Genomic DNA, 16387 nt, shown 5'->3' on the forward strand with positions numbered 1-16387 from the left:
TGCATTTCTCTAATGACCAGTGATGATGAGCTTTTTTTCATATGTTCGTTGGCTGCATAAATGTCTTCTTTTGAGAGGTGTCTGTTCATATCCTTCGTCCACTTCTTGATGGAGTTGTTTTTTTCTTGTAAATTTAAGTTCCTTGTAGATTCTGGATATTAGTGCTTTGTCAGATGGATAGATTGCAAAAATTTTCTCCCATTCTGTAGGTTGCCTGTTCACTCTGATGATAGTTTCTTTTGCTGTGCAGAAGCTCTTTAGTTGAATTAGATCCCATTTGTCAGTTTGGGCTTTTGTTGCCGTTGCTTTTTGTGTTTTAGTCATGAAGTCTTTGTCCATGCCTATGTCCTGAATGGTATTGCCGAGGTTTTCTTCTAGGGTTTTTATGGTTTTAGGTCTTAGGTTTAAGTCTTTAATCCATCTTGAGTTAATTTTTGTCTAAGGTGTAAGGAAGGGGCCCAGTTTCAGTTTTCTGCATATGGCTAGCCAGTTTTCCCAACACCATTTATTAAATGGGGAATCCTTTCCCCATTTCTTGTTTTTGTCAGGTTTGTCAAAGATCAGATGGTTGTAGATGTGTAGCGTTATTTCTGAGGCCTCTGTTGTGTTTCATTGGTCTATATTTCTGTTTTGGTACCAGTACCATGCTGTTTTGGTTACTGTAGCCTCATAGTATAGTTTGAAGTCAGGTAATGTGATGCCTCCAGCTTTGTTCTTTTGGCTTAGGATTGTCTTGGCTATATGTGCTCTTTTTTGGTTCCATATGAAATTTAAAGTAGTTTTTTCTAATTCTGTGAAGAAAGTCAATGGTAGCTTGTTGGGGATAGCACTGAATCTGTAAATTACTATGGGCAGTATGGACATTTTCACGATATTGATTCTTCATATTCATAAGCATGGAATGTTTTTCGATTTGTTCGTGTCCTTTCTTATTTCCTTGAGCAGTGGTTTGAATTCCTGGACACATACACCCTCCCAAGACTAAACTAGGAAGAAGTCGAATCCCTGAATAGACCAATAACAAGTTCTGAAATTGAGGCAGTAATAGTCTATGAACCAAAAGAAGCCCAGGACCAGACAGATGCACAGCCAAATTCTACCAGAGGTACAAAGAGGAGCTTGTACCTACCATTCCTTCTGAAACTAATCCAAACAGTAGAAAAAGAGGGAAATCCTCCGTAACTTATTTTATGACATCAAGATCACCCTGTTACCAAAACCTGGCAGAGACACAACAAAAAAAGAAAATTCCAGGCCAATATCCCTGATGAACATCGATGCAAAAATCCTCAATAAAATACTGGCAAACCGAATCCAGCAGCACATCAAAAAATTTATCCACCATGATCAAGTCGGCTTCATCCTTGGGATGCAAGGCTGGTTCAGCATACACAAATCAATAAACATAATCCATCACATAAACAGAACCAAGGACAAAAACCACGTGATTATCTCAATAGATGCAGAAAAGGCCTTCGACAAAATTCAACACTCCTTCAAGCTAAAAACTCTCAATAAACTAGATAATGATGGAATGTATCTCAAAATAATAAGACCTATTTATGACAAACCCACAGCTAATATACTGAGTGGGCAAAAACTGGAAGCATTCCCTTTGAAAACTGGCACAAGATAAGGATGCCCTCTCTCACTACTCCCATACAACATAGTACTGGAAGTCCTGGCCAGGGCAGTCAGGCAAGAGAAAGAAATAAAGGGCATTCAAATAGGAAGAGAGGAAGTCAAATTCTCTGTTTGCAGATGATATGATTGTATGTTTAGAAAACCCCATCGCCTCAGCCCAAAATCTCCTTAAGCTGATAAGCAACTTCAGCAAAGTCTCAGGATACAAAATCAATGTGCAAAAATCACAAGCATTTCTGTACACCAATAATAGACAAACAGAGAGCCAAAATCATGAGTGAACTCCCATTCACAATTGCTACAAAGAGAATAAAATACCTAGGAATCCAACTTACAAGGGATGTGAAGGACCTCTTCAAGGAGAACTACAATTTTAGCCATTTTAATAGATGTGTAGTGGTAACTCATTTTGGTTTTAATTAGCAGTTCCCAAATGACTAACGATGTTGAACATCTTTTTTATATACTCTTTGCTATCCATTTATCTTCTTTGATGAATTATCTGATCAAATCTCTTGTCTACTGCCTATTAAAAACATTATTTTCTTAATTGTTGAGTTTTGAGATTTCAGTATATATTCTGGATACAATTCCTATATCAGATATATTCTTGGAAGGTATTTTCACCCCATCTTTTAATTCTCTTAATAGTGTTGAAAAGCAGAAGATTCTAATTAGGAAGTCCATTTTTCCAATTTGCTTTTTATGAATTATATTTTATGTCATATCTAAGAAATCTTTGCCTAACTCAAGCACGCCTAACCCAAGCACACAAAGATTTCTTCCTATGTTTTCTTCTAAAAGTTTATAGATTCGGGTTTTGTATTTACATCTGTGAGACATTTTGAGTTGATTTTTCTATAGGGATCAAAGTTTATTTTTTTTACATATAAATATTCTATTATTTCAGCATCATTGGTTGAAAAGGCTTTCCTTTTTTCACTGCATTGCCTTTGCAGCTTTGTTAAGAATCAGTTGTACATTTAAGTGTATGTTTATTTTTAGACTCTATTCTGTTTGTTATTAAATCTACACAATCAACACAGTGTGTACCATCCTGTTTTGATGAGTGTAGATTTATTATAAATGAAGTCAAATAGTGTTAGCCTTCCAAATTTGTTCTTTCTCAATAGTTGTTTTTGCTCTCTAGGTCCTTTGCATTTTCTTTCTTTCTTTTTTTTTCTTCTTCAACTTTTATTTTAAATTCTGGGCTACATGTGCAGGATGTGCTTGTTACATAGGTAAACGGGTGCCATGGTAGGTTGCTGCACAGATCAACCCATCACCTAGGTATTAAGCCCAGCATCCATGAGGTATTCTTCCTGATGCTCTCCCTCCCCCTATACCTCCAAACAGGCCCCAGTGTGTGTTGTTCCCCCATGTATCCATGTGTTCTCATCATTCTGCACTCACTTATAAGTGAGAACATATGGTGTTTGGTTTTCTGTTCCTGTATAGTTTGGTTTTCTGTTCCTGTATAGTTTGCTGAGGCTAATGGCTTCCAGCTCCAGCCATGTCCCTGCAAAGGACATGATCTTGTTCCTTTTTATGGCTGAATAGTATTCCATGATGTGTATGTACCACATTTTCTTTATGCAGTGTATTATTAATGGGCATTTAGGTTGATTCCATGTCTTCACTATTGTGAATAGTGCTGCAGTGAACATAAGCTTGCATATATCTTCATAATAGAATGATTTATATTCCTTTGGGTATATATCCAGTAATGGGGATTACTGGGTCAAATGGTATTTCTGCCTCTAGATCTTCAAGGAATCAGCACACTGTCTTCCACAATGGTTGAAATAATTTACACTCCCACCACCAGTATAAAAGCATCCCTTTTTCTCTGTAACCTCACCAGCATTTTTTATTTTTTGACTTTTTAATAATCATTCTGACTGGTGTGAGATGGTTTTTCATGGTGGTTTTGATTTGCATTTCTCTAATGATCAGTGATGTTGAGCTTTGGATCAGTTTGATCAATTGATCAGTTTGGGATTGATTTTGATTCAATCCTTATTCTTATTGTGCATTATTTTTTTTTGCCTCTGCATGCCTGGTAATTTTTGACTAGATTCTATGTGCTGGATATTTTTTTATCCCTAGAAATCTTCTTGAACTTTGCTTAGGGTTACAGTTAAGTTACTTGGAAATAATTTGACCTGTTTCTTGTTTTGCTTTTAGGATTTTTTAGGTGAATCTGGTGCATTGCTCAGTGAGGCAAGATCTTCCTGAGTACTCTACTAAATGTCCTGTGAATTATGAATTTTTCTTGTCTGGCTGGTATGAACATCCACTGTTCCCAGTAGGCTCTTTGTAAGCACCAGGCAGTGTTCCCACCAGTCCTTTCATGTGGTTCTTTCCATTGTCTCAGTTAGTTTCTTCACGTGCAAGTGCTGCTCAGTACTCTGCTTAATACTCAAGGGAGATCCTTTGCAGATCTCTGGGGTTCTCTTTCTTTGCACATTTGTTCTCTCTGGTATACTATCCTATAAACTGTAGCTTCCCCAGTCTTTCCAGACTCAGCCTTATTTCTGAAACTTAGAGAGTCCATAGGTCTGTGCCTTAATTTTTTCTCTCTGTGCCTTTGCCTGAAAATTTTCTTGATGCAGTAATTTACAGGCAATAATGGGACTCACCTTGTTTGTTTTCCATCATTTAGCGATTACTATCCTCTGTTGTCTGATGTTCATTGTCTTGAAAACCAGTGTTTCATGTATTTTGTCCAAAGTTTTTGGTTGTTTTAGGTTTCAGGCTAAGCTCAAGTACCCATTACTCTATTTTAGCCAGAAGCACTTTTTTAAAAAAAAAGTCAATTCCTATTATGTTATTTTTCCTCCTATTTACTGGGCATTCTTAAAATATCCTACCCCATGCTGCCTCATTTTTTTACTCATTTGAGTATTTGCATATATGTATATTTCCATCTTTTTCTAACAGTTGCCCTTGAATTTTAACTTACATCTTGTTTATATTTTTTCTAACAACATCTAGACTTAATCATTACTGTATCTTCCCTCTGAACAACATGAAAACTTGTGTACTTTCACTACCCCATTGCCTAGCCTTATCATGAACTTGAGGTTCAAAGAGTTAATCCCTCTGTTCATTATTGCTTTTTGCACACTCCATTCTATTCTCTTAGATTTTTTGCTGTAATTTTTAGAACACTTCCTCTAGGAGTTTCTAATGGTTCGTTACCTACACCTTTCCCTCAACCCCACCCAGATGACCTAAGTCAAGATGAAAGAAAAGATCCTTCTGCAAGAAATCTCTTTACCTATCAACTCATTTATTTGCCCACTTGATCTTCTGTTTCTCCAGTCTCAGAGAATCCAGCATCCACTGTTCTGCCCAGTATTTATCCATTGACCTGTGCTCTGTCTGGATCCTATCTTCTCTCAACTCTTGAACTTTTTCTTTTTTGGTGTTTGCATTTACTTATGCTATATTAAACCTCTTGGTTCCTTTCTCATAGCCAGTAGGTTCCTCTCTCTACTTCAACTGTTTTTCAATGCCATAGATTCCTTCTGGCAAATATTCTGTACCTCTTCTTCATGTCTTGGTAAAGCCTATTTAAAAAAAAAAAGGAATAGTCTATTTTTCTTGTTTGCCTTCTGTTCACTTCTCAATACATTGCATTCTGGGCTCTGCTCCCCATCACTTCACTAAAAATAATTTGACCCTCTTACTGTCCTATAGACTAGTCCAAAAAAAGGACAATGTACTAGGTATTGCTGTATAACAAACCCCTCTAAAATTTAGTAGCTTAAAACAATTTTTTATTTCTCTGGAATCAACAGGTTGCCTGAGTGATTGTGCTTTTCTGGCTTGGGCTTTGCTTATCTTATCTGGGTTTGTTCATGTGTCTGCAGGTAGATGACAAGTTGGCTGAAGGCTAGCTTGGCCCCACTGGGGAGGACTCAGCTCTGCTTCATGTGGTCTCATCATCTATCAGGAGATACCATGCTTTTTACATAGCAGTGATAGTTCCACAAAAAGAAGTGGAGCATGCAAGGCTTCTTGAGGCTTAGGATTGAAACTGGCACACTGTTAACGTTTTACCAGATTCAGTTAAACAAAGCAAAATGCAAGGCCAGTCCAGTTTCAAAGGATGGAAATTTGTTTCATGTTCTTTACACAGCTTCTTAAATGTTGATATTCCTAGAAATTTTTCTTCTAACCCTTTCCATTTTGCCTCACCAACCTCATCTCTTTTTACAGGATGACAAAATTTGCCCTATATATTGGTGACATCCAAATCAGCAATTAGCAAACTATGGGAGACCAGCCTGTGGCCTGTTGTTATATGGCCCACTAGCTTAGAATGGTATATATATATATGTTCTAGGGTACATGTGCACACGTGCAGGGTTTGATACATAGGTATACATGTGACATGTTGGTTTGCTGTACCCATCAACTCATCATTTACAACTCACCGTATGTCTTTACAGTAGCATGATTTATAATCCTTTGGGTATATACCCAGTAATGGGATTGCTGGGTCAACTGGTAATTCTAGTTCTAGATCACTGAGGAATTGTGACACTGTCTTCCACAATGGTTGAACTAATTTACACTCCCACCAACAGTGTAAAAGTGTTCCTGTTTTTCCACATCCTCCACAGCATCTGTTGTTTCCTGACTTTTTAATGATTGCCATTCTAACTTGCGTGAGATGGTATCTCATTGTGGTTTTGATTTGCATTTCTCTGATGACCAGTGACGATGAGCATTTTTTCATGTGTCTGTTGGCTGCATATACAGACATATATATATGTCTCAAAAGAAGACTGTTTTGAGAAGTGTCTGTTCATATCCTTTGCCCACTTTTTGATGGGGTTGTTTTTTTTCTTGTAAATTTGTTTCAGTTATTTGTAGATTCTGGATATTAGCCGCTTGTCAGATGGGTAGATTGCAAAACTTTTCTCTCATTCTGTAGGTTGCCTGTTCACTCTGATGGTAGTTTCTTTTGCCATGCAGAACTTCTTTAGTTTAATTAGATCCCATTTGTCTATTTTGGCTTTTGTTGCCATTGCTTTTGGTGTTTTAGTCATGAAGTCCTTCCCATGCCTATATCCTGAATGGTACTGCCTAGGTTTTCTTCTAGGGTTTTTATGGTTTTAGGTCTTAGGTTTAAGTCTTTAATCTATCTTGAATTAATTTTTGTATGAGATGTAAGGAAGGCATCCAGTTTTAGCTTTCTACATATGGCTAGCCAGTTTTCCCAGCACCATTTATTAAATAGGGAATCCTTTCTCCATTTCTTGTTTTTGTCAGGTTTGTCAAAGGTCAGATGGTTGTAGATGTGTGGTGTTATTTCTGAGGCCTCTTTCTGTTCCATTGGTCTATATATCTGTTCTGGTACCAATACCATGCTGTTTTGGTTACTGTAGCCTTATAGTATAGTTTGAAGTCAGGTAGCGTGATGTCTCCAACTTTGTTCTTTTTGCTTAGGATTGTCTTGGCAATGCAGGCTCATTTTTGGTTCCATATGAACTTTAAAGTAGTTTTTTCCATTTCTGTGAAGAAAGTCATTGGTAGCTTGATGGAGATGGCATTGAATCTATAAATTACTTTGGGCAATATGGCCATTTTCATGATAGTGGTTCTTCCTATCAATGAGCATGGAATATTCTTCCATTTGTTTGTGTCCTCTTTTATTTAGTTGAGCAGTGGTTTGTAGTTCCCCTTGAAGAGGTCCTTCACATCCCTTGTAAGTTGGATTCTTAGGTATTTTATTCTCTTTGTAGCAGTTGCAAATGGGAGTTCACTCATGATTTGGGTCTCAATTTGTCTGTTAGTGGTGTACAGAAATGCTTGTGGTTTTTGCACATTGATTTTGTATCCTGAGACTTTGCTGAAGTTGCTTATCAGCTTAAGGAGATTTTGGGCTGAGACGATGGGGTTTTCTAAACATACAATCATGTCATCTGCAAACGGACAATTTGACTTCCTTTCCTAATTGAATCCCCTTTATGTCTTTCTCTTGCCTGATTGCCCTGGCCAGAACTTCCAACACTATGTTGAATAGGAGTGGTGAGAGAGGGCATCCTTGTCTTGTGCCAGTTTTCAAAGGGAATGCTTCCAGTTTTTGCCCATTCAGTATGCTATTGGCTGTGGGTTTGTCATAAATAGCTCTTATTATTTTGAGATGCGTTCCATCAATACCTAGTTTATCACTGGTATGTGTTTCAGGTATGGGGAGGGATTTTGCATCAACTTTTAAGAGCATCTTGACAAATAATCATTGTATAACCACAGTTGACCCTTGAACAACACAGGGGGGTTAGAGTCACCAACCCCTTGTGTAATCAAAACTTCACATATAACTTTTGACTCCCCCAGAAGTTAACTACTAATAGCCTACCGTTGACCCAGAAGTCTTACCAATAACATAGTGCATATTTCGTATGTTATATATATTATATACTGTATTCTTAAAGTAAGCCAGAGAAAATAAAATGTCATGAGGAAAATCATAAGGAAGAGAAAATACATACACAGTACTGTACTGTGTTTATTGATGTTGTAAATTTATGTTGTCTGTTTACAAGATGAATAGTCTGTGTCAAATGGTGGCAACTACAGTGGCAAACCTCAATCTACAGTACAAATCAAACAGTCCAACTTTTTGTTGTAATATCATGACTTTTCGCTGCTTCTTGGGAACACTTTCAGATTGCTAGTGGCACTTCATATGGGTCCCATGGTGTTTTTGAAGGTTTACACTACTGTGCCAAACAATGAAAAATATGCAAGAACCATGAGAAATCGCTTTTTACTGCAATATGCAATTTACTGAAGACACGGAGATGATTAGTGTCACAAGTTGTTTTAAGTGGATGCTCTTAACACTTGAGTTCACTGCATAGCAAAAAGAGGTGTCTGTGAAATTATTACAGTAGTAAAGTATGTACTGCAATAAATCTTACACATTTATGATTTAATACTGCATCTTTACATTTGTTTACATTTCTCTTGACTATCAATGGCACCATGTATGTCTGTGTATATGTAAGTTTTAATACATTTTAACTTTTTATAATAGATTTGTATTTCATGATACTAAATGGTAAAATAGACTAGTATCTACACATATGTTATTCATTCGTGACACACTCAACTCTTTCTTAATATTTTCTCTATTTCTAGGCCATGTGGCTTGTCTATATGTTTTTCCACATTGTTGCAAATCTTAAAGATAATTTCAATATATTTATTTTTAAAAATTCACGTGTAAGTGGATCCACGCAGTTCAAATCTGTGTTCAAGGGTTAAATGTTTTATGATTTTTCAAAGGTTTTTCTGTGCAACACATTTTAAAAAGGTTTTCTATGTAAAATCATCTTGAATAACAAAGTGGTTATAAACTTACAAGTTCCATGCCATAAATAAATACAGGAATTAAACCAAGATTCCTTTAGCTTCCATGTGCTTTGGTTTTTATTCATGATAGGACAAACAATGGGAGCAGATTATGAGACAGAGGAATAAGAAGTTAAGCATGTATAGTATTAACTAATTGCAGTTATCAAAGAAGTAGTGAACTTGATAAGGTTATAGTAGTACTTCTGCTTCATGGAAGAAGATTGAACTATAACGTCACCACTGTGGCCATTCATCTTTCTTGAGACCATAATGAAATGAAAGTAGATAAATATTTATAAATAGGCATAAACTCATAATAATAAAAAGATTTGAAGGCAAGGGGGAGGTAATAATGGACAAGATATTTCAACAAATTTGCAGAACATAGAGTGGCTGGGAATGGCTACAGAGGGACTACAGGAAAGGTAACTGATGGAATCCCAGAGAGATTTTGGGTTCATAAACAATAGATACCAGTAAACAAATATATTCAAAGTACAGCAAAAACCAGATATTTATTCAAGGTCGTTATGTGGAACATGGGCTCTACCTGAAATCCTTATGTTCCACCTCCATCCCTGGTATTTACCACTAGAATAACTATACAGCCCTCTTTTTTAAAAAATCACATGATTTCATTGAGGAAAGTTAAAGCTTTCAATATGGATGTTAGTTTCCCAAAATAAAGTCTCCCTTCATTGTGAAATTTAACCAGGTCCACAGTCCCTCAATATCCATTCCTGATTCTGAAACAAAGCCTACCAGTTAGCCCATCCTTCCTCAAAGTATTCTACATAGAAAGCAGCCAGTCAGTATTCCCACTCAGGGGATAGAATTAGTGACAATTAGGTCTACTCAGTGGAGGAACACCTGCTATTCAGTAGAGGAAACCCACACTAGCTACCCAGAACTTTATTCTTAAGCACGGATAATTAAATAATGGTTGACTACTACAGTGGGATAACATACAGAAATGCAAATAAATGATACATAGTTACATATAACAACATGGTTGAATCTTGAGCTATAGAAGCTGGACATGACAATACGGTTACATTTAATTAATATATTAAATATACCAATAGGCAAAATAAGCTCATAGTACTTGGGAGAGGGTATCAGATGGTAAATGTATTAAAAATTCAAAGAAGTAGTTACCCCAAAAGTTAAGATATTGGTTACTTTTTTGGTGGGTGGGAATTATGATTTTGTGGGATACATGGAAGGTATTGTTCTGACTGTGGGTTATACAAGTATTCTCTATAATAAGGAGAACATTTATGTTTTATATGCTTTTCTGTATACATGTTAAATTTCACAGTAAAAATATAGTCAAAAAAGGGATCCCACAGGAGACAGACAATTCTATAAACATTTTTAATTCTCCACTTTAGTCAAATAACTCGGAGAAGTTATATTCATAGAGTAAAAATAGGATGCTATGAAAAGGAAGCAATTAGAGAATGAAAAAAGAGTTCAGATTAAAAGTATGATTGCTGACATTAAAGCTTCAGTGAAGAGACTAAAGATAAAATTGATTTAATAAAGTTCCTGGAATATACAGGGAGAATAAAGGACTAAAATTTGAGAGAAAATAATAGAAACTCAGTCCAGGAGGTTCAATTTCCAATTAATGAGCGTTTCAGAGGAGATAACTGAGAAAGTGGAGTACAGAAAATATCAAAGAAATAGTAGAAAAGATTTTTCCCAGAGCTGAAAGATACTGATCTTTAGTTTGTACCTAGCACATTGTACCTAGCACAATGACTGTAAGAACAAACAAATAAAAAAAAGACTATACCTAAATTTAATCAGTGTTTAAGTGAAGATTCTAAACCTTGGAGAAGAGAGCTGAGTGTGAGTAAGTAAGATTGGGAACATATTAAGCCTATTAAAAATAACATCAGATTTCTTATCAATTATACTGGATGTTAGAAGGTATTGGAATGGTACTTTCAAGAAGCTCTGGGGGAAAATTATTTCCAACCTTAAATTTGATACCCGTATGAAATAAAATTAAGTGAGAGAGCATAGCAATGACATTTTCGGATGAAAGGGTTTGCATCCCACACACTTTTGTGGGAAGTTATTTCAGAATGTGATTCAGTAAAACAGGTGTAGACAAAGACTTAGGACTGAAGAAGCAATAGGCATAACTCTGGAAAGCAAGAAAAGAGAAGTGGCAAGATGACAGCTGTGGAGTATCCCTAGAAAATGACCAGATTGGGAGGAAGGTCTCTAGCGGAGTAAGGAGGGAGGGGTGACTCAGTATAAGTAACATGGTTGATAGGCTAGGATACAATAAATGATTAGGGAAAGTGATGGGAGACAATAGGAAACCAGTTAGAAAATCTGGAGAAAACTAAAAGCTATACAAGAAAGTCATAGTTAAAACATAAGGACAACTAAAATGTAGCATGATTTTACGCAGTTGATGTCTAAGAAAAGACTGGGCAGCTGATAAAATGGTAGCGTCACTGAATGAGTCAAGACATTTTAACATAACCGCAAAATAGATGTTGTAATATTGATGGGAATATTTTGTCATAGTTGTTTTGATATATACATATTTCAAAATAGTTAAAATGTAAAATCACTGCTCTCTTGTTTATTACCAAAAAATGTGCTGAAAAGGTACCACTAACCTTTACCCCATCCCAAATGCCCATTAAGTATAAGGGACTCTCCCTATCTACTCTATTCATTTCTGTATTGTTTTAATATTTTACAAGTTATGTGTTAACTTTTATGATTTTTTTGTGATTATAAAATGTGTCAATTTGTTAGAATTAATTTAGCTTCTAACTATAATCTATTGTATAAATCCATCATACATTACCATCCTTATAAAATTATTAATGTAAGTATGATGAGTATGGAAAGCTATTCAAAATTTAATTGTGAATTTCTTGTTCTATCTGAAATGTAGAATAAGACATCTTATTATTGCCCTGTCTTCTACTCCTCCAAGTGACTTCTGTAATACCCAGCCACTTAATGTTTGACATTCAGGAAGCTTTCATAAAGCAGAGGTGTCCTTTTAGATATTTAGATGGAAAATAAAGAATATCATTAATCTTAGTTGAAAGCAAATGGCTTTTTTTTTTTTTCTTGAGACAGAGTCTCACGTTATTGCCCAGGCTGGAGTGCAGTGTTGCAACTTCTGCCTCCTGGGTTCAAGGTATTCTCATGCCTCAGCCTCCCAAGTAGCTGGGATTACAGGGGTGCACCACCATGCCTGGCTAATTTTTGTATTTTTAGTAGAGATGGAGTTTCACCATGTTGGCCAGGCTGGTATGGAACTCCTGACCTCAAGTGATCTGATCACCTCGGCCTCCCAAAGTGCTGGGATTGCAGGCGTGAGCCACCATACCCGGCTGCAAATGGCCATTTTATATAGTGTTCAAAACCTGGCAAAACAAATTTATGGTGATAATAGAAATTAGAAAAAAATGGTGTCATTAGGTATTGACTGTGAAGGCCACATGAGGAAAACTTTTATGATGCCAGAAATGTACTATAGTTTTATCTTGGTTGTGGCTTTGTTGGTATATACATGTGTAAACATCAAAATTATACACTTAGCATTAAATTAAAAAAAGTGAGAAGTAATAGCATTTGAGATGAGGTAAAAGTGAATTATGGGAATATTAGCAGACATACTGCTTAAGGTGAATGATAGCTCTTTTCCCCCATTTATTACTTTCTACAACGAAAGATGATTTTTAATTATATAAGTTACATGTATTTAGATAATTGTAAGTGTCTAAAGTTAAAATTGAAGGGCTCCTTCCTTAGAGCATCGCTTAGCCCAGGAGTTTGAGATCAAATCTTTTCTATGTATACACCAACATTCTTTAAAAACACATTTTGAGAAGTATCAAACTATATAGATAATTCTGAAATTTGCTCCTTCTGCCCACTCAACAGCATATAATAGATATCTTGCAGTGTTGGATTATAGATTCACCCTGATTCTCTTTAATGATTGTGCAGTCCTCCATAGTACGTTTATATCGTAACTTAGCCTCCTCCCTAAACATTTCAGGTTATCTTTAGTTTTTTATTAATGAAAATAATTCTGATTAAGTTCTTTTACATTTATATTTGTATATTTCTGCAAATATTGTTATAGGATAATTCCAGAAGTACAATTCCTAGGTTAAATTTTGTTAGCTTCTGCAAAATTGTCCTTCAGTTTCAACAACTGGGAACCATAATCTTGCCAACATTGGATATTATCAGTCTTTTAAAATGTTCACTGATCTAATGGACAAAAATGGAATCTCACTGTTTTAATTTGCCTTTTTCTGATCACTAGTGAAATTGGGCATCCTTTCTTATGTTAATTATAAATTGATGTTTCTTTTTTTGTTGTGTGTACCCTATTTTAATTTTCCTTATTTGTCAGGAGTCGTCGTTTATGAGAGTAATCCTTTTCTTGTTACGTATGTTGCACATTTCTTCTCCAATTTCTAGTCTTTTAGATTTATTTGTCTTTTAGCTTTAACGTACGAAGCTATCCATTTTTCCTTTATGACTCCTTCATTTTGTATTTCGCTTAAGATCATTTACTTGGGAAGACCAGATATGTTCTTATATTTTGTTCTGGAAACTTATTCTTTTGCATTTTACTTTTAAATGATTAATCATCCACAAGTGTGTTTTGTGAGCTAAATATATGAATATTAATATGCTTTTTCTTTCCCATAATGGATAGCCAGTTTTTGCCATAAATCACTGAATAATCTGTCTTTTCCTCACCAATTTAAAAACCAGGGATATTACTGTATGAGTGAATGAGGGTTATAAGAAATGTACTTTTTTTTTTTTTAATGCAGAGAGGAGGATGTCAGTTTTGAAGCAGAGTTCAAGGATATAGGGCAGGGTTTGTAGAAAATCCAGGATAAAGGAGTGTGGTTGCCTTGGGAGCTGTAGTGTCAAATTGGATAGGTTTAAAAGTATAGGTGGGATGAAGTAAGAATATATCTAGGACAAACAAATATAGGCATACCCATATGTTTATATGCTTAGCTATATGCTTTGCTTTACTGCACTTCACAGATATTGCAGGGTTTGGTGTGTGTGTGTGTGTTTGCAAATTGCAGATTTGTGATTACCCTGTGCTGAGCAAATCCGTCAGCATCATTTTTTTGACAGCATGTGTTCGCTTTGTGTCTCTGGGTCACATTTTGGTAATTCTTGCAATATTTCAAATTTTTTCCTTAGTATTATGTATGTTATAGTGATCCGTAATCAGTGATCTTTGATATTATTATTGTGTTTGTTTTGGGCAGCATGAACAGCACCCATAGAAAATGACAAACTTAATAAATTATGTTGTGTGTGTTCTGACTGCTCTACCAACTAGCCATTTCCCTGTCTCTCTCCTTTGGTCTCCCTATTCTTTGAAAGACAACAATATTAATATAAGGCCAGTTAATAACCCTATAATGTACACCTAGTATGCATCAATATTAATCTTTCAATGGCCTCTAAATATTCCAAGTAAAAGAGTCATATGTCTCTCACTTTACATCAAAAGCTAGATGTAATTAAGCTTAGTGAGGAAGGCATGTCAAAAGCCAAGAGAGGCCAAAGGCTAAGCCTCTTGCACCAGTTAGGCAGATTGTGAAAGGAAAGGAAAAGTTCTTGAAGGAAATTAAAAATGCTATGCCAGTGAACACATGAATAATGAGAAAACAAAATAGCCATATTGCAGGCATGGGAAAAGTCTGAATGGTCTGGGTACCATTCAGACCAAACCAGCTACAACATTCCCTGAAGCCAAAGCATCATCCAGAGCAAGGCTCTAGCTCTCTTCAATTCTGTGAATGCTAAGAGAGGTGAGGAAGCTGTAGGAGAAGAGTTTGAGGCTTACAGAGGTTGGTTTATGAGGTTTAAAGAAGGAAGCTGCCTCCAAAACATAAAGGTGACAGGTGAAGCAGCAAATGCTGATGGAAAAACTGCAGCAAGTGATCCAGAAGATTTTTTTTTTCCAGAAGATCTAACTAAGTTAATTGATGAAGGCAGCTACACTAAACAACAGATTTTCAATGTAGATGGAACAGGTTTCTACTGGAAGAAGATGCCATCTCATAGATGAAGAGAAGTCAATGCTTGGCTTTCAAGGACGGGCTGACTCTTGTTGGGGGCTAATGCAGCTGTTGATTTTAATTTGAAGTCAGTGCTCATTTACCATTCTGAAAATCCTAGGGCCTCTAAGAATTTTGTTACATCTACTCCCTGTGTGGTCTGTAAATGGAACAACAAAGTTCAGTTGAGAGCACATCTGTTGATGGCAGAGTTTACTGAATATTTTAAGCACACTGTTGAGAACTGCTAAGCAAAAAAGATCTCTTTCAAAATATTACTGCTCATTGACAATGCACCTGATCACCATTTTCTGCAGTGAAGATGCCCAAGGAGATTAATGTTGGTTTCATGCCTGCTAACAACATCCATTCTGTAGCCCATGGGTCAAAGAGTGATTCAGACTCTCAAGTCTTATTTAAGGATTGCATTTTGTAAGGCTATAGCTGCCATATATAGTGATTCCTCTGTCAGATCTCAGCAAAGTAAATGGAAAACCTTCGGGAAAGGAGTCACTATTCTAGATACCATTAAGAACATTTGTGATTCATGGGAGGAGGTCAAAGTATGAACATTAACAGGAGTTTGGAAGAATTTGATTCCAGTCCTCATGGGTGATTTTGAGGGGTTCAAACTCAAGTGGAGGAAGTAACTGTAGATGTGGTGGAAATAGCAAGAGAACCAGAATTAGAAGTGGGGCCTGAAGATAGGACTGAGTTACTGCAGTCTTATGATAAGACTTGAATGGATGAGGAGTTGCTTCTTAACAGATGAGCAAAGAAGATGGTTTCTTGAGATGGAATCTACTCCTGGTGAAGAAGCTGTGAACATTGTCGAAATGACAATAAGGATTTAGAATACTACGTAAATTTAGTTGATGCAGCAGTGTCAGGATATGAGAGTGGCCTCCAAGTTTGAAAGAATTTTTACTGTGGACAAAATGCTATCAAACAGCACCACAAGCTACAGAGAGATCTTTCGTCCTGCAGAGAAATCAAACAGGAAGAATCAATCAATACAGCAGACTTTATTGTTGTCTCATTTTAAGAAATTGCCCCAGCCACCCCAGCCTTCAGCAGCCACCACCCTGATCAGTCAGCAACCATTATCATCAAGGCAAGACCCTCCACCATCAAAAAAGAGTATGACTTGCTGAAAGCCTCAGATCATTTGCATTTTTAGCAATAAAGTATTTTTAAAATTAAGATTTGAACATTGTTTATTTAAATATAGTGCTGTCAACACAACTTTTATAACTACTGGGAAACCAAAA

General features: G+C 36.1%; 1 protein-coding gene across 4 annotated transcripts in view; it reads left to right on the plus strand.

Annotated features, from left to right (window-relative positions):
• Nucleotides 1–16387, plus strand: part of MAN1A2 (mannosidase alpha class 1A member 2) — a 161424-nt gene that overhangs the window by 108647 nt on the left and 36390 nt on the right. The window lies entirely within an intron of this gene.

The sequence above is a fragment of the Homo sapiens genome, chromosome 1 (genome assembly GCF_000001405.40).
Source record: "Homo sapiens chromosome 1, GRCh38.p14 Primary Assembly".
Classification (NCBI taxonomy): domain Eukaryota; kingdom Metazoa; phylum Chordata; class Mammalia; order Primates; family Hominidae; genus Homo; species Homo sapiens.